We start from the raw sequence: 24,645 nt of genomic DNA on the forward strand, positions 1-24,645 counted from the left end.
GCGGCTTCTATCCTAGCTCTGGTCCCCTTCTCCACAACAGAACTGACTTGGAGAGTTCAGAGAGTGGTGCTGCAACTCCATCTCCTGCCCTTGGCTCAGTCCTGTAAACACTTGCCTATCATACTGTGCAGTGTGGCATTTCTCTTGCACTGTGGAAGGAAAGCGAGCCTGGCCCTTTCCTCAAACCTCGGTCCTGATTGAAAGATGAGTGAGCCTACTAACTGCCATCTCCGGCAGCTTCCCCAGCTCCACAATATGAGGACAGGGTAATGATGTCCAATTTTGCACACTTCAGATCCATTAGTAGCAATTACCTTTCTCGAGGTGTTTTGAGTTAGTTTTAACATAGCATTCTTACAGTTGGTGGATAATGACAGTAATAATGTACACAACATTTTCAAGTCGCTGTTTTTAGCTACAATAACACCATTAGTGGGTTCTGTTTAACAGATGCATTTCATGCTAAAAGTTAAGGTTCTCATGATTCCTTTCCCTTCCCCCACATAGACCCTTAACTGCTGTTTTATTCAATGAAGATTTTTACTCTGAAGTTTGAGAGATATTTTTCTTTTTCTGAGTCTTCCTATTGAAACCGGATGGTTATGTCGCTGGCTTGATCTAGAATCATTAATTGTTTTGCTGTTCTTATTTATCTGTTCTTTTCATGACCTGCAAAGTGACCCAGAAACCCAAAGCTCACGAAAATGAAAAATACGTGTATTTTCCAAAACTCATGCAAGAGCCTGTGAGAGATCAGCAGGTTCTACACGATGCCTTCAGCCTTCAAGGCAGATAGGTGGCCACCAATCCGCCCAGAGGAGGCAACTCTCAGAAGGGAGATGTCAGTCTCTTCTAGTTACTTCAGTTGAGGTGTGTGGGTTTTTTTTTTTAACTCCCCCTAATAATACAGAAGAATTGTGTATCCACTCCTCCCCACCTCCCCTACTCCTTCCTGAAGCCATATCTGAGCACCCCAGGGACCAGGAACTCTTCTCTCAAGCCCTGCATTTTCATTGTTTATATCCCTTTTTTGACACTTTCCTATATGCCACCTCCTTCCATTCTTGCCGTTTCTCCTGCTGTTTCCTACACAGCTGTTTTGGTTTTGTTGTGTCCATTTCGCAGTCAGTCATTTGTATGTCTTAGTTCTTTATGTTAGTTTGATAATGCTATTGCCACAAAGTATCACAAACTGGGTGGCTTAGAATAACAGAAACTTGGCCAGTTGCGGTGGCTCACGCCTGTAATCCCAGCACTTTGGGAGGCCAAGGCGGGCGGATCACCAGGTCAGGAGACTGAGACCACGGTGAAACCCCACCTCTACTAAAAGTACAAAAAAATTAGCCGGGTGTGGTGGCGGGCACGTGTAGTCCCAGCTACTTGGGAGGCTGAGGCAGGAGAATGGCGTGAACCTGGGAGGCGGAGCTTGCAGTGAGCCGAGATGGCGCCACTGCACTCCAGCCTGGGCGACAGGCGGAGACTCGATTTAAAAAAAGAAAAAAAAGAATAACAGAAACTTATTCTCTCCCAGTTCTGGAGGCTACGAGTTCACAATCGAGGTGTTGGCAGGGCCCTGCTTCCTCCGAGACTCCAGCTGGGAAGGTCCTTCCTCGCCTCTTCCAGCTTCTGGGGGTGGCTGTTGGTCCTCGGCCTTCCTTGGCTTGAGGCTGCACACTCCCACCTCTGCCTCTGCTGTCACGTGGCATCTGCTGGTATCTGTCTTCATATGGCATTTTCCTCTTCTTATAAAGGACATCAGTCATATTGGATTAGGTCCCATTCCAATGACCTCATCTTAACTTGATTACATCTGTAAAAGCCCTATTTCCAAATCAGATCACATTCACAGGTACCAGAGGTTAGGACTTCAACATAGCTTTCTGGGGGACCCAATTCAATCATACCCCATCCACCCTACCAGTAAATTGTAGTCTTCTTGAAGCCTGGAGTGTTTGGTGAACCCCCTTAGGTAGCATTTCCTAACACCTTGACTATGGAACAGCAAGGAATGGAATCCTGAGATTCTTTTTAAAAGAGAGTGTCCTATTGTCAAATGCATTAGAGAAACACTGTTCCTATGCCCTGACCTGGGGACTTGAGATGCTCACTAGCCTACCAAAGGCTCTGAGGAATCCTGTGAAGACACTTGATTAAGTCAAGCTTATTTTCACTAGCTTTTTGGACCACGGTGGCTTTTTTTTTTTTTTTCCTTCTGGGTTTTCTCTATTAGCAGCAATGAAAATACTTTGGGGGAAATAGGCCCATTAAATGCTGTTATGAATTGCCCAAAATAAGGTAAGCAGAATAATATGATATTTAGTTAAATAATTTTTTTATAACATGAAATGTGTGCTGAAGAATAAGAGGGATTTTTTTTAAGGACTTAATTATGAGAGATACTCCAATTCAGTCGAGAGGTGGATAGAATGGCTGCGAGTCCCCCACGTGCAGCCTCCTCTCCTGACCCTGTATGGTGTGCTTCCTTGCTTGAAAGTGGAGACAAGCATAGGTCTTAAAAATGGGCAGCGCATCATTACTATTCGAGCCCCGTAATTCAACCAGGAAAATCGGTAAAGTCAGTGAGTCCTTCTGCTATTGTGTGCTTTCATTCACAATGATTTTAAATGATGTGATAGAACAGCAAGCTGCCTGGGGAAAACTTGATTTTCTGCTTACATTAAAAGGAACATAACACTGATAATTTTCCAACAACAACAACAAATATTCTTTTTGACCCTTTCAACATCATGTGAGTTCTTCACCTGTCTTTTTGGCAAAAGTCGAATCCCAGGTGGACTTCTTAGCAAACCTGTGAGGTTGTTTCCCTTCCCTCTCTGTCCATTGGTATGATTTGGGAGGACAAATTCATTTTGACACTAGCCTGAGCAAAACCTAATTAGGAAGGTCAATCTCCTGGCAAAAATGCCACACATTATATCATAAAGCCAAACAAAAATGTTTTTTGGACTCATGGATGTTTCCTAGTTTAACATAAAACTGATGTATTTATCACACATAGATATTAAGGGCTATTTCACAAGAAGCATTATTTGTTTTTTAAAATATACAACTTGGAATTCATTGCAGGTTCCCTTTAAATCGCAAATAGTCCTGGTATATTTCAGTTAAGCTTTAATATTTGATATCAGCACCAATTTTCAGATCTATATTAGTATATAGGAAAGAGTGGTTAAGAGCATGGGTTTTTAAGTCAGGCAGACCTGAGTTCAAATCCTGACTGGCTTCATTCCTTGCTGCCCCCCACGGGCTTGTACAGATGACTTGCTCTATTAGCCTCAGTTTTCTTATCTGTAAAATGGGACTCATGATACCTGCCTCAAATGGTTATTGTGAGAACTAATGAGATAATGAATTTAAAACTCTATTCCTGGTTTGTAAAGATTTTAGCTTAATGCCCAGCATGCATATCATTTGCCACTGTTATTATCTGCTACCTTATAATCATTCACATTTTTCATTTATTTAAGAAATACTTATTTTTTATGACAAAGATGGTATTACTTCTTTATTCAGGAGGTGACATCATCAGGCTCTGTGTACCCACACAAATCTCATCTGGAATTGTAATCCCCATAATCCCCACATGTTGAGGGAGAGACCTGGTGGGAGGTGATGGGATCATGGGGGCAGTTTCCCCACGCTGTTCCCTGTGATAGTGAGTGAGTTCTCACAGGATCTGATGGTTTTATAAGTGGCAGTTTCCCCTGCTTTCCTCTCTCAGCTGCCACCATCTAAGATGTGCCTGCTTCCCCTTCTGCCATGATTGTAAGTTTCCTGAGGCCTCCCCAGCCATGCTGAATGGAGTTGATGAAACCTCTTTTCTTTGTAAATTACCCAGTCTTGGGCAGTTCTTTATAGCAGTGTGGAAATGGACTAATACAGTCAGTTTCCACTCAAGTAGGGTGTTTAGTCCGAGGAAGAGATTAATGACCAAGGCAGGTTAAACCATGCCTAAATTACATTACCAAATTGGGACGATATTTAAAAGGTGTTTTCTGGTGAATCTAATGATTTTAAGAAATAGTTACTGAGTGTCTATTATGTGCTAGGCACTACTGAAATTGCTAGGGATATAAGAGAGAACAAGTAAGTTCCTGGCCTTGTAAAGCTTTCATTTTAGGGAGAGGCAGATGATGAACAAATTAATAAGCAAATAGTGTGTCATATTCTGAGGATGACTACAGAGAAAAATAGAGCAAGGTAGGTAGGGCATGCAGTGTGTGTGTGTGTGTGTGTGTGTGTGTGTGTGTTGGAGGGGAGGTCTGTGGGTTATTTTTACACAGAGTGATTGAGGGGGCCTCATTAATAATGTGACATTGGAGTAGACACAGAAAGGAAATGAGGAAATAGATTTCAGGCACAGGGAGCGGGGAATGCAAAAGTCCTGCAGTAGGCATGTGCTTGGTGTTATCTGAGAAGCTACAGAAAGCCAGCATGGCTGGGGCAGAGTGAGCCAAGGGGAGGATCATGGTGGGGGTGAGGTCAGAGAGGGAGCCTGCCAGGTGAGGGGTCTTATAGGAGCCGTAATAGATTTGGGCTTTTATTCTGAGGGAAATGGAGCCATTGGTGAACTTCCAGCAAAGGAGCGATAAAATCGGAAGTATGTTTCAGAAAGACCAAGCTGGCTACTGTATTGAGAATATATGATATTAAAATACAAATATAACTTGGGTGTATGTAAATTGAGATAATGGGCTCTCAAACAAAACTTTCTGAAGAAGGCGTTCTCTGATTCATTGCTTGCCTTTTTCTCCTTTCCCTAGCTCTAATCTTCAATTCCCTATTGTACATTCTCTGTCTGTAGCTGCCCATTTCCCAGGGCCACTCAACATCACTGATGTTGAGAACAGTGTCATAGTCAGCTCAGGCTGCCATAAGAAAAAGGTAGGTCCACTCTGAGGCTTCTTCTTTTGGTTTGTAGATGGCTGCCTTTTCACTCCATCCTCACACAGCAGAGAGAGAAGGAGCAAGCTCTTTCACGTCTCAAGGACACAAATCCTATCAGTGATCCTATCTGGGATCAAGGCTCCACCCTGATGACCTTAACCTTCATCACTTCCATAAAGACCCCATCTCCAAATACAATCACATTAGGGGTGGGGCATCAATGTATGAATTTGGGGAGGGGGACAAAAACATTCAGCCTATAGCAGGTAGGAAGTGCCATATTAAATAAGTTCAGTTCTTTTTACCACAATGAAGAGTGTGGCATTGAGCTAAAATGAAATCTATCACCTTTCTCTTAGGAGAAACCCAGCAGTCACTGTTATTGGTCATACTGAGGCATAACCTAGTAGTAGAGTTGTGCCAGATGTGGTAGCATCTACCGGGGGATTGAGAGCTGGGGTCCAGGAACATATCCCATGGGTCTCCATGAGATGATTTACCAGATTTCACTTCAACATGAGGGGCTTTAGGAGGAAACAGTCACCTGCATCCCCTGAGCAGGGCTGTCCCAGGCAACTGTGCATGACACAGAGGCACCTGCCTCATGGGGCAAGCAGGGCAGAAAATCCAGCCTGGGCTCCTCTTGCCCAGCTTTGTGCCTACCTGGGGGGCAGGGGCTGTGTTCGCTTGGAGAGGGATGTGCTTTTCTGATTCACAGAAGTGCCTGTGGGCCAGTAGCTGTTTCCTTACTGCAAGTGTCTGATTGAACATCAAATAATGTTTTCACTGTCCTCAGAAGAAATTTCTCTCCAGTGTGAGTATCAGACATCATTTTGGTTCCTTTGGACCCCTGGATTGTTTTATCTTATGGATATTTACAGCTGCGTTTTCCTCTTCCTATGGACTGTTAGCTTAGAATTAAATTAGAGCCTCCCTTTAGCAAGTAGATGGGAGTTCATGGTAGGCATTTTCTGGGCTAAAGGCCCTTGTCTTGCAGGATTCCTGGCCTCTTGAAGTGCTATGGGTGGTCTGGGATACCTTGTAAATTTATTAATTTGATGCGCTGCTTGGACTGCATCATAAATTGAGTTTTGGTCTCCTTATTTTGGGGGATTATTATAAATTTGTATTCATTCCACAAATATTTGTTGAGTTTCCTACTATGTGTCTGTATTAGTCTGTTTTCACACTGCTAATAAACACATACCCAGGACTGGGAAGAAAAAGAGATTTAATGGACTTATAGTTCCTTATGGCTGGAGAGCAAGTGGAAGGCAAGGAGGAGCAAGTCATGTCTTACATGGATGGCAGCAGGCAAAGAGAGAGCTTGTGCAGGGAAACTCCCCCTTCTAGAACCATCAGATCTCGTGAGACTTATTCACTATCATGAGAACAGCAGGGGAAAGACCTGCCCCCATGATTCAATTACCTCCCACCAGGTCCCTCCAACAATATGTGGGAATTCAAGATAAATTTTGGGTAGGGACACAGCCAAACCATGTCAGTGTCCATAGTAGGGATGAAGATAACAGGCTAGGGCTCTCTCCTAAGGAGTCTGCTTGCTAATTAGGGAGGCTTAGACATTTCTCAGGTAAACAACTAGCAGGATAGTTATAGGTTGGGACAAGTGTCATACAAGAAGTAAGCAAGGTAGCTGGGTGCGGTGGCTCACGCCTGTCATCCTACCACTTTGGGAGGCCAAGGTGGGTGGATCATCTGAGGTCAGGAGTTCAAGACCAGCCTGGCCAACATGGTGAAACCCCATCTCTACTAAAAATACAAAAATTAGCCGGGCTTGGTGGCAGGTGCCTGTAATCCCAGCTACTCGGGAGGCTGAGGCACAAGAATAGCTTGAAGCTTGAACCCGGGAGGTGGAGGCTGCAGTGAGCCATGATTGCACCACCTCACTCCAGCTTAGGTGACAGAGCGAGACTCTGTCTCAAAAAAAAAAAAAAAAAAAAGCTAGCAAGGTGCTGTCATGGAGAGTAACTGTTGATGTGTGTTGGAGGAAAGGAGGCTCTTTAGACAGAGTAGGCAAGGAAGACAGCTTAAGAAGAGAATTACTTTACATAATGTAAATGAAGTCCTTAGCTTGATCCCTGATGTGCGGTCAGCTCTCAGTTCATAATAGTTACTATGGTTATTATTGCTGTTGTCACCTTTCCCTTATTATATGCTGCACAATGCGTGAAAGCAAGAACACATTGCCAGAATTTTGAAGAGATGATGAAGACTTTGCAGATGTACCAGCACTGGATGGTTGGGAAATTTCAGTTCATAATAACTGAATTTAACTCTTTCCATCTTGAAAGACAGGCCTTGCTTGTCGGGTGGAACTATGGAACTTTGCTCTGCATCTCACATTGGAGCTATGCGTCTCCTAATTTGAGCCCTCTCTCCAAACCGTCATCTTTAAGCATTAATCTGCTGTACCTACCCAATATCTTTAAATCTGGATTCTCCTGATTGTTATTGTAGTGCAAATTTCAATTCATGTCCATTCAGAACCTAATGCAATTAGATCCAGAATTAATTTGGGGGCAGTGTATAGCCAAAGGTCCTTCTTTGAAGAGATTATATTCCACATAGAGTCGAGTCATTAAATAGACAGAAATATAGCCCCTCTAACTTAATGTTTTGAGCACTCTCTGAGCTTGTAGCACAGTCAGCCTATGTGGTAGAAGAAGAGGGTAGAATAAGGGCATGAGGCTGGGAGTTTTGGTGAGTATAACAAGTTCACTGTATTTTTAAGAACACTGAAAAGTACCAGAGCTAACCTGGTTGAAGAACTTGGAAAAGCAGAAGGCCTCCATCTTGCCCACAACTCAATGCCTTTCCTTGGTTACCTAAGGGAATGCACTTGCAACTCTATTACCCAGCAAATTAGGAGAGTGATTCAGTCAGGTATATTTATCACGAAGAGAACTGAAGATAATTAATACACTGCATTGAATGCAAATTGCACCCACAGCACTTATCTCATTTTCAATTAGCACAAATGTTACAGCACTGCGGGCTTGTTATGGTTTTACCATGGGCTGGGTAATTAATTTCTGTGAGCCACATATCAGGCACCTGGTAATGCCGTTTATTAATAAATGTCACCCCAGGTATTGGTTTGTTAGAGGAGGTAAATAAATGGAATGTGCAGTTGTCTGCCCTGTGCAAATCTATTTTTACACCTCACTGAATCTTTTCACTTGTTTGTTTATTGACTAGAGTGACTACTGAGATTACAATTGCAAACAAAGGAAAATCCCCACCCTTAATGTGGCCTCGAAGGGGATTCCTTTTCTTCTCCCTCCGGGATCATCAGACCAGTGAGTGGAGTTGCTTTAGAATGCATTTTCCAGATAAGACTCATGGGGGTAGAGTTAGAAATGGGAGACTTCTGGGGAACCAACCCCATCTGACCTCAGCCTCAATCACTTATGCAGCATTAGGCACGTTTCTCCATCTGTGAGTCTTTGGGGAGCATGAGATTGTACAGGCCCCTTTATGGGCAGCCTGTCCTGTTCCTCATTTCGGCCCCCTTTCCCCTGCTCTGTTTCTCATTACAGTCTTTGCTGCCCAGTCTGTGCCATTCAGGCCCCTGACGGTGTGGGTAGGACCTGGGGGCTTTGGACAAGGGTGAGGTGTTGAGCAGAAGTCCCATATTTTTGTGAGGTTTTCTACACTTCTCAACTTGTGTCCTCTCTCTCCATATTGGCAGGTGATATTAGAATTTCTTGTCAAAGAAAAAAACAAAAACTCTAATAAGCAAATTTTGACTACACGTCGATGATGGACCAGACAGTTTTCAGAGCCTTTCAGAGGGTGATGGGCTCAAACTCCATTTTATCAAAGTCCTTGTGATGGTATAAGTTTTTCTGGGTAGATAGTTTCTTCCTTTTGCTCTGAATCATCTGAGACCTTAATCAGAAATCAGCAATTCCCACCGTATATTTTGAATTTTGTTGCTCCTTGAGGTGTTCCCTTGAGGATCCCATGAGAAGAACCACTGTGATCTGACTAACTGTGTTAATACATGTAAAGCACTTACCACAATGCCTGGCACTTAATCAGTACCCAGTGATGTAACCATGGTTGGCATGATTGTAGTTCTTATTAGTATTTTGTTCTCTCATTTCATGTGACCTAGGAGCAATATTAGTATTGCTCCTGTAGGGAAAGGCTGGCAGAGAGTGATCCTTTATTAATTATAGCAGGTATTTATTGAGCACCTACTATGGACCAGGCACTGATTTGATGCTGCTGATAAAATAGACAAAAATCCTGGTCCTAATGAAGTATATGTTCTATTGGAGACAAGAAATAAATAAGCAGGGAGTAAAATATGTAGTATGTCAGAGAGTTTGAGTGCCATAGAGACATTAGGTAGGGAGGAAAGACAGGAAGTGAGAGGGGTTTCCTTTTGAAATGGGACACTTAAGGAAAGCCTTACTGAGAAGATGCCATTTGAGCAAAGACATGAAGGAGCTAAGGAAGCTAGCTGTGGGATGTCTGGAGAAAGAGCTTTCTAGGCAGAGGCACAGGAAGTGTAAAGGCCCTGAGACAGAAGGATGCTGAGGGCCTCAAGGAGGCCAACAAGGCCAGAGTGGAATGAGTGAGAGGGGGTAGGGTAAGAGGGAGCCTCAGAAGTTGTGAGGGCTGGCCCAGCATGGTATCTCATGCCTGTAATTCCAGCACTTTGGGAGGCCGAGGTGGGAGGATCACTTGAGGTCAGGAGTTTGAGACCAGCCTGGCCCATGTGATGAAACCCCATCTCTACTAAAAATACAAAAATTAGCCAGGTGTGGTGGCACACGCCTGTAATTACAGCTACTTAGGAGGCCGAGGCAGGAGAATTGCTTGAACCTGGGAGGCGGAGGTTGCAGTGATCTGCACTCTAGCCTGGGTGACAGAGTGAGGCTCTGTCTCAAAAAAGAAAAAAAATTATGAGGGCTAGGTCAGGTAGGCCCAAGTGGGAGATTTTAAGAACTTTGTAGTTCACACTGAGATAGGGTGCCATAGGAGGATTTTGGGCAGAGCAGGTGCATAATGTGACTTAGGTTTTAAAAGGATCATTCTGGCTTTTGTTTTAGAAATAGACCACAGAAGACAAGGGCAGAGCCGGTAGACCAGTAAGAAGGGTGTATTAGCTTCTAATTGCTGCTGTTAACAAATTACCACAAATGTAGTGGCTTAAAAACAGCACCCACTTATTATTTTATAGTTCTTGAGGTCAAAGTCGTAAAATCAAGGTGTTAGCAAGATGGTGTTCTTTCTGAAGGCTCTAGAGGAGAGTCCATTTTCTAGACTTTTCCACTTTCCAAAGACTGCCAGAATTCCTCAGCTCGTGGCTCCTTCCTCCATTTTCTTTCTCCTTCTTCTTTATTTTTTATTTATTTTTATTTTTTGAGAGAGTTACATTCTTGTTGCCCAGGCTGGAGTGCAGTGGCACTCAGCTCACTGCAACCTCTGCCTCCTGGGCTCAAGTGATTCTCCTGCTTCAGCCTCCCAAGTAGCTGGGATTACAGGTGCCCGCCACCATGCCCAGCTTTTTTTTTTTTTTTTTTTTTTTTTTTTTTTTAGTAGAGACAGGGTTTCACCATGTTGGTCAAGCTGGTCTCGAACCCCTAACCTCAGGTGATCCACCCGCCTCGGCCTCCCAAAGTGCTGGGATTACAGGTGTGAGCCACTGCGCTGGGCCTCCTTCCTCTGTTTTCAAAGCCAGCAGCATAGCATCTTCAAAGCTTTCTCTTTCTCTGAGTTCTGCTTCTGTCATTCCATTGCCTTCTCTGACTCTGACCCTCCTCTTTCCCATATAGAGACCCTTCTGATTATACTAGACCCACCCCATAATCTAGGATAATTCCCCTGTTTTAAGATCTCTGGTCACATCTACAAAGTCCCTGTTGCCACATAGGGTAACATATTCACAAGTTTTGGGGATTCGGTTGGGAACATCTTTGTAAGGCCATCATTAAGACTAGCACAGAGGCAGAAGCACGAAGGCAGGTGCAGGATGAAGGTGGCAGGGGCAAAGATGGTGAGAAACAGTGGATCCTGGTGATGTATCCAGCTGCCACACATCTTGGACCAATTTCAGCATGGAATCTTCCATACTGTCTGGGCCTGTGGTAAAGGCATCCCCCTTTCCGTGATCATTTCAACTGATTTAGCATCTGTTCCTCATCCCCAGGGTTCATGCACAAACTGAGGAACCATAGACAGTTGGAGTGGGAAGGGACCATAGAAACTTATCAAGTCCCTATTGCCCCGTTATAAATTCCTACTTTTTCCTGGGGCCATTGAAAACTTGTTGGAAGTTTTTCTTTTTTCAAGATTTTATTTTTTTTTAGAGCAGTTTTAGGTTCACACAGCAAACGTGAGAGGCAGGTACAGAGATTTTTCATTTACTCCGTGACCCTACTCATGCATAGTCTCCTCTATTATCAATATCCCCCACCAGAGTGATACATTTTTAACAATCAATGAACCTACATCGACACATCATAATCATCATCATCATTAGGGTTCACTCTTGGTGTTGTACATTCTATGAGTTTGGACAAATGTTTATTGACATGTACCCACCATTATAGTATCATACAGAATATTTCCATTGCCCTAAAAATCCTCTGTGGGATAGTTTTTACTAACTTTATCTGTTTATTATTTTATTCATTCATTTAGCATTTACTGGGCATTTGCTGAGTGCACTGCTCTGTGCTATAAAAGCAGAAATAAAAGATATAAGAGTCATGGTCTTTATCTCCAGGAGCTTGCAATGTATTTGGAATAAGAGAACAATTATAGAGCTAAATATAAGTGAGTGAAAAATCAAATGTTAAGATTTATGCATCAGTACCAACGGAGTGAGGAATGTGGAGAGGATTTCTGGAGGAAGTAACAGGTCATGGATTTTTATTTTTTAATTGGGGCCAGTCAGAAGATTGCCAGCTTTTCATTTTGCTAAGAATGGGCATTAGAATAATTCTTACCATATCTTATTGCCTTTATTTCATTTTAGGTAGGATATTTAAACATCCAAGATATAAAAAAGACATGATCTCAAGATGGAAAGTCCTTGATCTTGGACTCCAAGCTTCTAGAACTATGAGAAAATAAATGTCTGTTGCTTAGGTCTATTGGAAAATACTGGTCTGTGGTATTTTGTTACGGCAGGCCTAGCATGCTAATACAGACACTATTCAACCCAGTGTAATGCTCGATATGCTTTTTTTTTTTTTTTTTTTTTTTTTAAGCTTAGATAACCCAACGTTTGATGGAGGAATTCCAAGATGGATTTCAAGATGTCTGTGTTATACCTGTACCTTTTGTTACCATTTGCTTCATATCTATTCCTACTAATCTTGTGGTGCTTGGCGGGGAGGGGGTTGGAGGATAGTGAGTGCTTTCACACAGGAAGCTGTGAGATGGCGGCACCCAGCTAGACATTCTGCTTAGGTGAATTATGGATTTGCCACACTGAGAGTTCTCTTGAGACTCAGGTTCAGAGGACATGTGTGTACACATGGGGGGCAGATATATGAGGGGAGGGCTGCCGTGGGGTGGGGGCTCTAACAGTACCGTTTTCCCTGCTCCCAGCCTCATTATCGCTCTCCAAGGACCTCAATCTCACCCAGGCCAGCCCTGCCCCCTTTCTGCACCCAGTAAACATTGCTGGCCTGCTTTCTCATGAATATGGATTTCCATCATCCCTCACTGTAGGGATAGATGTTGGGGGCAGAGCTGTTGATTACATTTCCAGCCAATCATTGCCCATTAGCAGGGAAGAGCGGTGGGCATTATCCCTCTTCAGCGAGGAGCCATTTGCATTTGGTTGGGCCCCGCTTTCTTTCTGAGCATCTACGGACCCTCAGCGCACTCAATTACTCCGGCATCCGGCCCTTCCTCTTTCGCTTTCTAAGTGTCTTGATTGGATTGGCCAAATAGCTTGGTGCTAACTACAGCTGTTTAGCATATCCCTGGGTGGAGGGTGATAAGGACCGCAGGGTTTGAGTTGGCTGTAACCTGCAGAAACAAATACCTTTCCCTTTCTGCCCATACTGCCTTCCACCCTCCTACTAAAAGAATCCGCAGTGGTTTGCAGGGAATAGCCCCAGCAGGCAGTAGGGTACGCGCTCCATGCACTTTGCATCTTTTGGGGAGGTCCCTCCTTCTAGAGTTCTCTTTCTAGTGCCCTTGCCCCCGGAGATGTTGGTTTCCCAACTGCCCTGGGGGGCCTGAGGGGTCTGGCACGGATAGATGGTAAGTTTCCCCACCACTTCCGCTTCTGGGAAAGAGGAAGGAAGTGGATCTAAGCAGAGTCCGCTGGGAAAGCAGGTCCCCTCCCTATTGGAAGTTCCGGCAGCGCTCCTGGGCCTTATGGGAAAATTAGAGGCCTGACCTGGGAGACAGGCATGTTTGTGTCCTGCTCACAAACCTTGGTCATAAGTAACCTGTGAGGACAACTGAGAATGACAGAGGGTTTCTTTCGTTCACAGGATCATGTTATCTTCAACCCCCTTCTGCTGCCCATGTTCCCCTGGAAAGCCCTTCTCCAGAGTCAGAAACATTTGTTTGCTCTTGTTAAGGCTGGAGCCATTTCCCCTCCCTCTTCAGGGTTTCTCCCACCCCTCAGCTCCCTCTTCTTCAGTGTTACTAGGGATGCTGTTTTGTTTTCTTTTCCTCTTCTGTTTTGCCCATTCAAGAAAATGAAAGTGAGCACCTGAGAAAGAGAGAGCGGGAGGCAGAGGGGGAAGAGAGACTGTGAGCACCAAATGATCTGAGTGTGATAGAGGAAGGTTACCTGTGTGTTTGTCAACAAGATGAAATAAATAAGAGAAAAAAAAAGAAAAAAGAAAAAAAAGACAGCAGTCAAAGGCAATCAAATATGTATTTAATTAAAGCAAACATAAAAATAAAAGTTACATGTTGAATCAATAAACAGCACTTTTTTCTACATGCATTTTGAACAAGACAGATCAGAATCTTGCATGATGAAGACATAATGTGTCATAATAATTAGGAACACAGACAAAAGAACAGCTAATCAGCATGCAAATGTATGCAGTTCTGGTGATTCAGATGAGGCAGATTTCTACCTCTTTTTTGCTTGATTCATCTTCATTGCTAATCATCTGAAGGCTGCCAAATGTTCACTGACACTAATGTATTATAGGTCAAGAGAGGCAGGTCTTCACCTATTACCCCCCCAAACAATATGCTTCCCTTCCCTGTTTCCTCTTCAGGATTTTCAGCAATCACTGCCAGATGCAATCAGACTCCTTGAATAGGAGCAACTGAGGCTTGTTTGTGGCTCGGATTCATTAGAATCAGGAGGCTGAAGAAAGGAATAAATTACTTAATTGCACAAAAAAGTTGCAGCCAAAGTGATGGTGAGAGAAACTGATTGTGTAGATACGCATTAGGCCACTCTTGGAATGGGGTGTCTTAGAATAGCTGGTAGTTTGGCCTCACAGATTCAGACAGATTTGGGTGTCCTCCAAAACAGATGGCTCCACATACCATCTATTCTTCTCTTTGTCAGGTTTTACCATTTATTTGATCTTGGTCCCTCTCTGATGCTGGTTGTATTAGTTGTAACACAAATATGCATTCAGATCATATCCATTTAGTCTGGCCTCTCCCAACTTTTGTTCTTCCTCTTTTTTCTTTTTCTTTTTTTTTTTTTTTAATTTTCTTTTTGAGAAGATGGTCAAGTTGAATTAAACCCTTGTTGTCCAACTCTTGAATGCTCCTTCACATGAAATGCAGGAAATGGGAAGATTGCACAAGCCTGCAGTGCGGGGGTGTGAGCCCTAGACTGGAGGGAGGAGGAGGGAGAAGCTGCTCAAATGGGGAAAGAAAGAAAAGAAAAGAAAGAAAGAAAGAAAGAAAGAAAGAAGCTCTATTTTCCAACCACAGGGATACCTTCCTTGCCTCAAACTAACTCTTAATCCGTTAAAAAAAAGCACAATATTATCCAGTGTTGTTCATACACAACCAAGGAAGAAGAAACAAAACCATGCAGAGCAGTCTCACAAATGCTTCCTTCTCTTTTCTCTGGCACTTTGGCATGTGCCTCCAGCCATGGGGCCTCTGACTCACACATTCCACTCAGGTTTTTGGTCATGTGCCTGACTTGCGGGTGGTCTTAAGGTCTTGAAGACAGAACTTCATTTTCTCTGTGAAGTTCCTGCATTGCTACTAGTTGTGTGTGCGTGCGTGTGTGTGTGCATGTGTATGTGTGTGTTTTGGGGATGGGGTTGGGAAGAGGGAGGAGAAGGTTCAGTATGAGACAAGAGGCACTGACAGGGAAGAAATTGGGAAATAAATTATGATTGATTTCTATTTGGGAAGAAAAAGTATTCAGAGAGGTAACTTTTCTAATACTGTTGAAAAGTAATTGGCAAAGTGGATTCACCCAGGTTTGTTCTGACATTTCTCTATCCCACCTCCCTTTGCTTTGCTGTTCCCTCTGCCAGACAATCCTTTCCCAGATCGTTCCAAGTCTTGGTCGTCTCATCAGTCATCTCCTCATCAATCCCATGTCCTCAGAGGGGCCAGCTCTGCCCTCCAAAAGTCAGCTGATGGTCACCTGTTCACCCCATCTGATTCTTGGGACTACATTTGTATTCCCTTTATAACTCTTACCATTATCTGAAATTTATTTTTTTAGTATTATTTATTTTTTAAATTTACATGTATGGTAGCTGTCGCCCATGTTAGAAGGTAGGTTTCTTGAGAGCGGGGCAGGATTGCCTGTATGTTTCAACTCCGTATCCCCAGTTTCTACATCTCTATCTGGCTTTCAATAGGCATGCAATACATTTTTATTGTTTAAACAAGTTATTTCTGAAACCTAATGCTGCCTAAGGTCCTGTCACATTAACGGTGGACTCTGAAAGGTTACCCAAGTTACTTTGCTGTGCTGTGATACCATAACAACGCTTCCTGGAGGCTAAAATGTAGGCCATTGTTATCCTTAAGTTACAAAGACATTTTGCCCAATTTACCTTTCTAAGTTTGGTGCTCATTGGATGGGTAAGCGTGGGGCTGACTTCACAGAAAGGAAAGACATTTATTTTCCTGAATTCATCGTCTGTGTTCAACTTAGTAGGAACTGGGAGTCAGCCATTATACTATATATATATATATATATATATATATATATATATATCACACACACACGTGCACAAAGTCAGCTATATATTTCTGTATAGTCCTTTAGGTGTGGGTAGGAACCACTGAGAGGTCTCAGCAGTGTGAGAAAAGTGGGGAGAGAGAAGGGGACGAGAATAAAAGGGGAGAGGAGAAAGGAAAGACATTCTAGACAGTGGGGGTTAGATGGGCCCTGTGTGACCTGACACACTGTCCTGTGTCATTTACTGCCTTATTACAGACAGAGAAGACACTGTAAATGGACCCTACAATGGCTGGAATATGGAGTGAAATGCCAGGGTGGTCCCTACTAAGTGCATGGACATGGTAGGTTAACTGCTTTTTTTCTAGGAGCTGAGTAAACAGAGAGGGTCACACAGAAAAACATTTGTTTCTGTTTTGATCATGCCCTTTTAAGGTGCATGTTATACAGATCAAGATTCCAACTGCTACGAGTTCCGTCTCCTAGCCCTGAGCCCCCTAACCAGGGCGTGGTGCTGGTGGTACCTTTCTTCAGAGAAGTGAAGACGTTTTTTTCTGCTGGTTAGAGTACCACTTTGATTTTGTTTTATAACAAAATAAAACAAATTCTTCCTTTTCTGGAACTTGCCATGAGTAAAATAAATGGAAATTAAATTCATCTTGGGGCTTATTATTTTTCTCAGTCTTACCTTTGGAACGACTCCTTTCTTCCAGGAAACTCAGTGAGGTGTCTCCCAACGGCCTTGATCCCATTTCCAACTGCAGGGGACCCATGGAGTCACAGATTTATTGGGAGTGGGAAGTGGAGTAGGGTGCAGGTTCTGGGTGAGCAGCTTGGCTCTGGGCATTTTAATTCCATGTGGAGCTGGCAGGGAGAAGGCCAGAGCAGGCCCCAGACCATCTAATCCCTTATCATGAGGGCCCCAGCTCCATGCCAAGAACTCGACTTTTGGAGAATGGCAGTTGTCTTGGGGGAGGCTCTCATCTCTGCAGGAAGCCAGCAGGCAGAATGGACACCACCAGATAGAGCCTTCTGTAGCCCGTCCAGAGGCATCTGATTATTCAGTTGATTTTTTTTTTTTTCTGGTCCAAATAAGCCTCATATCCCTTCATCAGAACAAAGCTGAACTTTCCCACTCCCCGGCTGGCGGAGATAGCTGTCTTAGGCTCCTTGGAAAAAGCTCCATGGTTACCTTTCTTTCCCATTTCCTTAGATCTTTTTGTTTGTTTGTTTGTTTTCTTTCTCATAAAGTAAGAAAGACATTCTTCTGTGCCTTGGCAGACAGCTGTCCGAGGTCCTTCTTCTATTGGGGTCTCACCGTTGGACCCCCCCAACCCCTCCCAGTCACACAGGCGACAAAATCTCCTCCTACCCTTCCTTTCACATAGGAAGGAGCTGCTCTCTGAGCCGGCAAGTGAAACCTTGGCACCCTCTCAAAGAAACCTGAAGTGAGAAGGGTTCAAGAGGGAGGTCGCTTTGTGCGGAAAAGCTCCCGCCACAGACCTCTCTACCAGCCTGGTGGAGGGCCTCCCGCAGGGGCACCGGAGAGATGGAAGCCCATTCACACTGGGTATTGTGTCCACCCTGGCTCCTTAGCCATTACTTTTAACTTTAAACAGCTCAAAGAAAAAGATTCCCATGGGATACAGGAGAAACCTATTCCCATCTCCCCTCCCATCCATCTGTGATACGGACTTGGGATTTTAGTTCCAAAATGCTTTATTTCCCCTCATCTCCAAGTTGGGTTACCGACCTTCTATCTGTAAATGCCACCAACTGGCTTCTCTGTTCATGTCTCAGGTTAGTATTTCTTTAGCACAAATACACATTTATTGCTGGGTACTAGGATATCAGATAATTCAATCAGTGTTCTGTTGGAGTCTAGTAGGGAAGAGAGACATGTAAACAATGAGCTTACAGTGCTGAGACAGGTGACTGGATGTCTGTGGCTTACACCAGAAGCTCCCTAATAGAAGCTCCCCTCTGCACAGCACCTATTCTAGATCCGTGTGCAATCGGGGTTGTGAAAGTCTCATTGATTTTGGTGACTGATGTTGAGCAATGCCCCCACCCCTTCTTGGGCTCAAGAGGAGGGAAGTTGGTGTTAAAACTGAGTTAGTATGATCACTGGAACAATAGAAAACCACCCTGCGCCCCTTCTCATTTTACTCATACAAAGTGGTGACCAGCTTGGAGCACTGAGAAGGAAATTTCCACAAACTCGTGGGAACAGGGTGCTGTCCACTTTGCTCTCCGCGATCACTTCTTTTCTTGAGAAGGTGAACGGTGAGGAGTCCATGGTTTAAGTGACTGGCTCTTGGATTTAAATGTTTTCATTTTCTCCTAGAAGGAGAACTTTTCATGGCACTGGTGGCTACTCTCAGAGGGTGATCACTAAAGCAAGAGGAGATCACATCTCTGCTGAGCCATTCACAACTGAGGCAATCTGCTGGAAAGGCAGAAAGAGAAGGTGGCATTTTATCCTGGTGCATGGAAGAAGGAAGAGAGAAGAGGATGTGATGGTTGGCTTTTTGTTAGTAAAGAAAAAAATAAAGAGAGAAATAAACATTTAGCCATTGCATTGTACATGGTTGGAGGTGAGCCAGTGCCCCTTTCTGACTGCTAATGTGCTGGCACAGGAGACTAGTAAGCTAAAACTTTTCTATCTGTTGATTTAATGATGTATGGAGGATTCATATTTAAAAAGAAGGTTGGACTTCTTGAATTCTAGGTCTCCATCCAAGTCTTAAAGTTCTGCTTGTCTATGAGTTAATCAACAACATTGGGTGCCCACTCTGTGCAGGAGGGGTCTCCTTGTGCTGGCCCTCTCACCTATGGGTGAGTACTTTTCTCTAGTTGGAACTGAAAACCAAGATTAAGAAATGAAAATAGTATGGTAAGAGTATTGGATGGTGGGGTCAAAGCCATTTTAGTTCTGACGAGTCAACGGTTAATTGAGCCACTAGTATGAATGGGCCTGGCCAGTGCCGGTGCAGAGACACAGGGATGAAGGAGATGAATGGGGGCATGTGGAGAGCATCTGTAAGGAGGCTAGGCCTAGGTAGAGCCAGGCCTCTGCACCTGCGTCCTGTGCACTGCTTGTCTGTCACTCCACGTCTGCAGATGTTTGGGGGCTGGTAGGCCCAGACAGGCAGGGAGAGCTGTCTGCACAGGGAAGTCGGTGGCATTGCTATTATTTAGTTTTGAAGGAGGCCATGACTGTGTGTAAAACAGAGGTGAAGAGGCCAGGGTCCTTTTGTGTGGGCCAGGGCCTACGTCACCCTGCAATTCTCTGAAGACTCCTGAGGAACTTGTCCCCGCAGCTGAGCTCATGGCCTCTCTGCTGGCCTCCTCTCTCTGCCTGCCCAGGCTGCCTTTGTTTTGACATCTTTTTACTCTCCTCTCCATGTTTCCTGTTTTTGTGGATCTTCCCCTTCTGCTGTATTTTTCCTGTGTCTGTTTGGGCTCCCAGATGTTGCGGCCATTGGTTATTTTGGTAACTATCTGGGGCATCACAAGATCTTAAAAAAAAAAAAAAAAAGACAATGGAAAAATCCTATATTGGAAAAAAATTTCCATACATGTGTCCCAGGTTGGATAATGGACCATCCCAATGTTTCAGATGCATAACTTGGGTGTTACAAGGACAGAGCCAACCAACTGAAATGTAGTAAATTTCAGTTAAAACATTAACAATTCTGTCATTTTATGCCACCTGCCCAGGGCCCATCATGGCACACTGTACATCGTTGGCACCCACCAAACTTTGGTTGAATTCAGTGTATTAAGTGGTGTACCCTCCCTGGAGATATGTTTTTAGGTAGGAGGATTCACAGTCCTTTTAAAATACCTTTTCTGCACTAGCTGTCATTTTGAAAATGCTGTTGATACAGCGATCCAATCAAATGGCAGTGGAGGGCATGCTTGTCTGTATATGCAAAATAAAAGAAATGCCACAGAAGACATATGCTACTCTGATGGGGACTCTAATCCATCTCTGGCAGCAGGACGGCCAGCAGTGCCCAGGAATTTGGCCTGAGAGAGGCCTATAGGAAGAGTCTCATTAGTTAATTCGGTGTGGGCCAGATCCTGCAGGTAGGTAAACTGTTTGCTTCAACACCATTTAGTCAGCTCCTCTGTGGTGGCTGTGGCAGAGGCACAGCTGGGTCGTGGGTTCCTTCTAGAGTGGAGGGGGTGTCTTCTCTGCCCTGACCACAGATCACACTTCTGCCCAGAAGGCCGACCTCAGATGGTGCTGGCAGGACAACTTCTTCCTTATATACTTTTCATACCTACTGCAGGACAGATCCAGGCATAACTACTGATGCATAACAGTTGACAAAAATGATACAAGCCCCTCAGTGGCTTTTCTAACCATGGCATGGTTAGGAGGAGGAAACATTACTTGGTTGGAAAGAAACTCAGGGTTCCAAGGGGGCAAGTGGCACAACTGGCAGAGCAATGGGCTGGACATCAGATGGGACTTCTCACCAGGTCTCTTCTTGTTTGTGAACACCCGACTCCACATCCAATCAGTGAGAAAATCTTATTGTTTCCACCTTCCAAACTATTTCTCAAATGTGTTTCTTTTCTTTCTATTCCATCCATAGGTGACTCTTGGGCTAATAGTTATGTATTTAAGGATAAATAGCTATTCCGGCATTTCTCTTGTGAATAGGTATAAACCATCAAGTCTCTACAACAGGAAGGAGCCAGCCAACTGGTCTTGTACGTTCCTTGTCCTTTTTATGACCACAATTCCTGCTGTTTCTTTTGCTACTTGGAGATCTATGGTTTTTATAAATGAAAAGCTGGATGTGGTGGAATGGAATGCGTGTCATGAGTTAAGGGAGAACCCTGATATATCACTGTGTTAAGCAAATAAGACTTACCCATGTGGTGATTGTTTCATGTTTAGTGGAAACATTCATGTCCATTCCTAGAGACAGAAGTTGATCTACAGAACGATCAACCCCAGTGATTTCTCCAGCTGTGTGGAATTGTCTTGCGAGGTGCTCAGGGTCAGGTTTTCGTGCTTCAGGTATGGTGTAGCCAGGGGACTGTTCCTAAGCTCTTTCCTATGTACCTGTGGTGCCGCGTGTTGCAGGTCAGGGACATTTCGATAACAAGAAGGGCTGGCTTTTATTTTATCTTATTTTATTTTATTTTTTGAGATGGAATCTCGCTGTGTCACCCAGGCTGGAGTGCAGTGGTACAATCTCGGCTCACTGCAACCTCTGCCTCCCGGGTTCAAGCAATTCTCCTGCCTCCTGAAGCTATTCAGGAGCGATTCAGCCTCCTGAGTAGCTGGGATTACAGGCACCCACCACCACGCCTGGCTAATTTTTGTATTTTTAGTAGAGAAGGGCTTTCACAATGTTGGCCAGGCTGATCTCAAACTCCTGACCTCAGGTGATCCACTCGCCTTGGCCTCCCAAATTGCTGGGATTATAGGCGTGAGCCACTGAGCCAGGGCAGGACTGGCTTTTAAATAGTAACTAGAAGAGGCACTCAGTGGAGAACTTCAAGAATGGGATTGGTACTACCTGGGCTCCAAGGGGGCAGTGGCTGGAAACCTCTCCTAGTTTCTGGATGATGATAATAATAACAATAGTAGCATTTACTGAGGTCAGGCCCATGTTAATAATGCTTCACATGAATGAACTCATTTAGTCTTCACAACAGTGTCATAAAGTACAGTCTATCATCTTCCTGTTATGGATGAGGAAACTGAGGCACAGAGAGGTTGATTAGCTTCCCCCAGGACATACAGGTGCTTCCAAATTTTGTCAAATTTGGGAACACCTTTATTACATTCTTCTCATATATTATTCTTAAATACTGCATGAATCGATGATATTAGGAGAACTCCTGGCAGCAACAACACTAGGACCTCCAGCAGTAAGTACTCACAGGACTGTGGACCATACAGATATATCCTGCAAAATCCAAATGAAATGTATCAGCAACTCAGCTTTTCCTTAGCTGAATCCCCAAAACACCCGCAGTCATTCCTGTACCATCGAAGTGGAAGTAGGCATGAAAGTCAGAGTGGAAAGAGAGAAGTCTTAACCAACTCAGTCGAACATAGCTTATTTTTGCACACTTTATGAAAACATATGCTCCTGTGAACACATTGCAAGGGCTCCTCCCAGGGCCTTCGACAGGGTCTGCATGAGGGAGGGACTCTGAAACTTCTGCTTATTAACTGTACAATAAATTTGCTCCTGGCCCTAAGGTATATATGGGAGATGTATATCTCTCTCTCTCTTTCTCTCCTTTATCCATCATAGCTATAGACATCTATATTTATCTATCCATTTCCTGTATCTATCTAGAGATATATATATTTACACATCTATATGTACATCTACATCTCTCTCTTTCTATATATGGTAACAGGATGCACACTGAAGGTGTTGGATGGATGTCTGCCAGTCCTGTTGGGTATTGCTGTGACAGAGATAAAGCCTCACTTGGAGATAATGTGAAGCCCTTTGTGATGTTAAGGATTAAATCAAATGACTTCCGCGCCCCACCTCTCCCCATAATAATCCTGTTAGACTGGAATTATTATTCCCATTTTGCACATGTGGGAGCTAAGGCTTAGAGAAGCACACAGGGGAAGAACCAGCTCTGACAGTCATTTTTCACTCATATGAACTAATGATGGCTTGTATAGAAAGCACAAATAAAGATCACATTTCATGGCCTCAAGAGGATAGGATGGCAGAAAGCTTATAGCTCCTTAGGGAAGTTAAGTACATAATGATAGGTTGTTGTATTAGTTAGGATTAGCTGGGGCTGCGAGTGGCAGAAGTCCCTGAATAACAGTGGTTTAAATCAGATGGATACTGATTTCTCACTAATGTGAACGTCCAGGTAGCTGGTCCGCTATCATCAGGGGTCAACTTCTATTTTATTGCTTTGCCATCCTCAACACATACTTCTAACTCATGGTCCAAAGTGGCTGCTATAGCTCCAGCCATGAGGTCTGTATTCTAACCAGCAGAAAGGACAGAAGGGCAGAAGAAGACTAATTTCTTCTCTTTAACTACACTTACTGAGAACTATGTATGTGTGTGCCTCCACAGACATATATGCACACACCTGCCACTCCTATCTGCAACCCCATTGGCCAGAACTTGGTCATGTGGCCACACCAAGATACAAGGGAGATGGGGAAATATAGGTTTTATTCAAGGCAACTATGTTCACAGATAACTCTGTGACAAAGGGGCAGAGCTGATGTAAGGAGAGAGCTAGCACAACTGTCGTGTGCTGTATCTCACCATATTTTGCTTATTATCTTCTCAAGAATATTGCATTCTCTTTGAAGGTGGGGATTCTATTCTGTATTCATCCACTGAATTAGAGAATGTGAAAAGGCCAAGGAGGTGATCCGGTTTAGTGATTTTCAAACTTCTTTTTATCAGTATATTTCATTTTTCAAAGGAAATTTTTTAGGAGACTCCAATATGTAAGACATGAAAGCAATATGTTATCAAAAGTAATTTCACGAATTCAAAGTTATAGCATTTTCTTCTTTTAAAATCAACACGGAGTCAAGTTAAAGGGTCTAAAATGCTAATATTTGCTACACAATACATTTGAGTGTGTGTTTCCACTGATTTATAAATAGCTTAAAGTTCACTTCTAATAACGAAATTCAATACAATAGCTTCAGAACCCCTTCAAACTTGAGCTTGAAAACAGCCAATCAAGTTCAAACTTCTAATTGTACAGCAAGTATTGAAGGCCCAAAGTGGTGAGCTGATTTGGTCAACATCCCAGAGCTAGACAGTAGTGGAATGAGGCTGAAATCAAGTTTATGAGTCAATAAGTATGGCCTAAGGTTCCGACATTGCACAGGTCCCAAGCACTTCTTATTAAATCCCTCTATATCACCTAGAAGACTGCTGGGTGCAGAGAGGCTGCTCAGTACATATTTGTTGTTAAGAGAAAGGCTTTTTCCTTGATGATGGGGTATGTTTACTTAAGGAGAACAGAGGCCCTAAGGGTCATAGAGTCATTATTTGGTATGGGGGAAATAACGATACCTAACATTTGTTTGGCTCTTTATATATTCATAAAGTGTGATCACATACCTTTTCCAATTTAATCCTTTCAAAACCTATTAAATAATTAGAGCAGATATTACTCTTATTCCCATTTTACAGGTGAGGAAACTGAAGCTCACGGAGTTGAATGACTTGTCCGAGAATACAAGGCAACTGAGTGGCAGAGCCCGAAGCTAAATCTGTGTTTTCTGGCTCCAAATCCAGACCTCTGTTCTTTGTTGTCACCCAGCTCGTTGAGTTTTTCATACACCTATTTAGACTTTTCTTGCATTACACAACTCTAGGGGGTACCATTCCCATTGTAAACTAAGGAGTTATGTTTTGGTCTATTTACATAGACCACAGTGGTATCTTTGGCACTGTGCAAAGGGGTGACAGTATCTCTCTCTACATTGGGAGTTCTTTGAGTGAAGGCATTATGATTTATTTATCTCTGTATCCCAGGCACCTGGCCAGGGATATCAATTGATGTTGTTGAATGAACTGCATTGCATGTCTACAGAGTGCAGTAGGTTTTCCAGT

General features: G+C 43.6%; 1 protein-coding gene across 4 annotated transcripts in view, besides 1 other annotated feature; it reads left to right on the forward strand.

Moving 5' to 3' along the window:
* Positions 1-24,645, forward strand: part of RPS6KC1 (ribosomal protein S6 kinase C1) — an 811,495-nt gene that overhangs the window by 261,223 nt on the left and 525,627 nt on the right. The gene's annotated exons all lie outside the window — the stretch shown is intronic.
* Positions 12,306-15,328: an enhancer, noted in NCBI's record as "VISTA enhancer hs1324". NCBI's record gives its function as "enhancer in: forebrain[6/6]" and the evidence as "EXISTENCE:transgenic organism evidence [ECO:0001131][PMID:17130149]".

Source organism: Homo sapiens, chromosome 1 (assembly GCF_000001405.40).
Source record: "Homo sapiens chromosome 1, GRCh38.p14 Primary Assembly".
Lineage (NCBI taxonomy): Eukaryota > Metazoa > Chordata > Mammalia > Primates > Hominidae > Homo > Homo sapiens.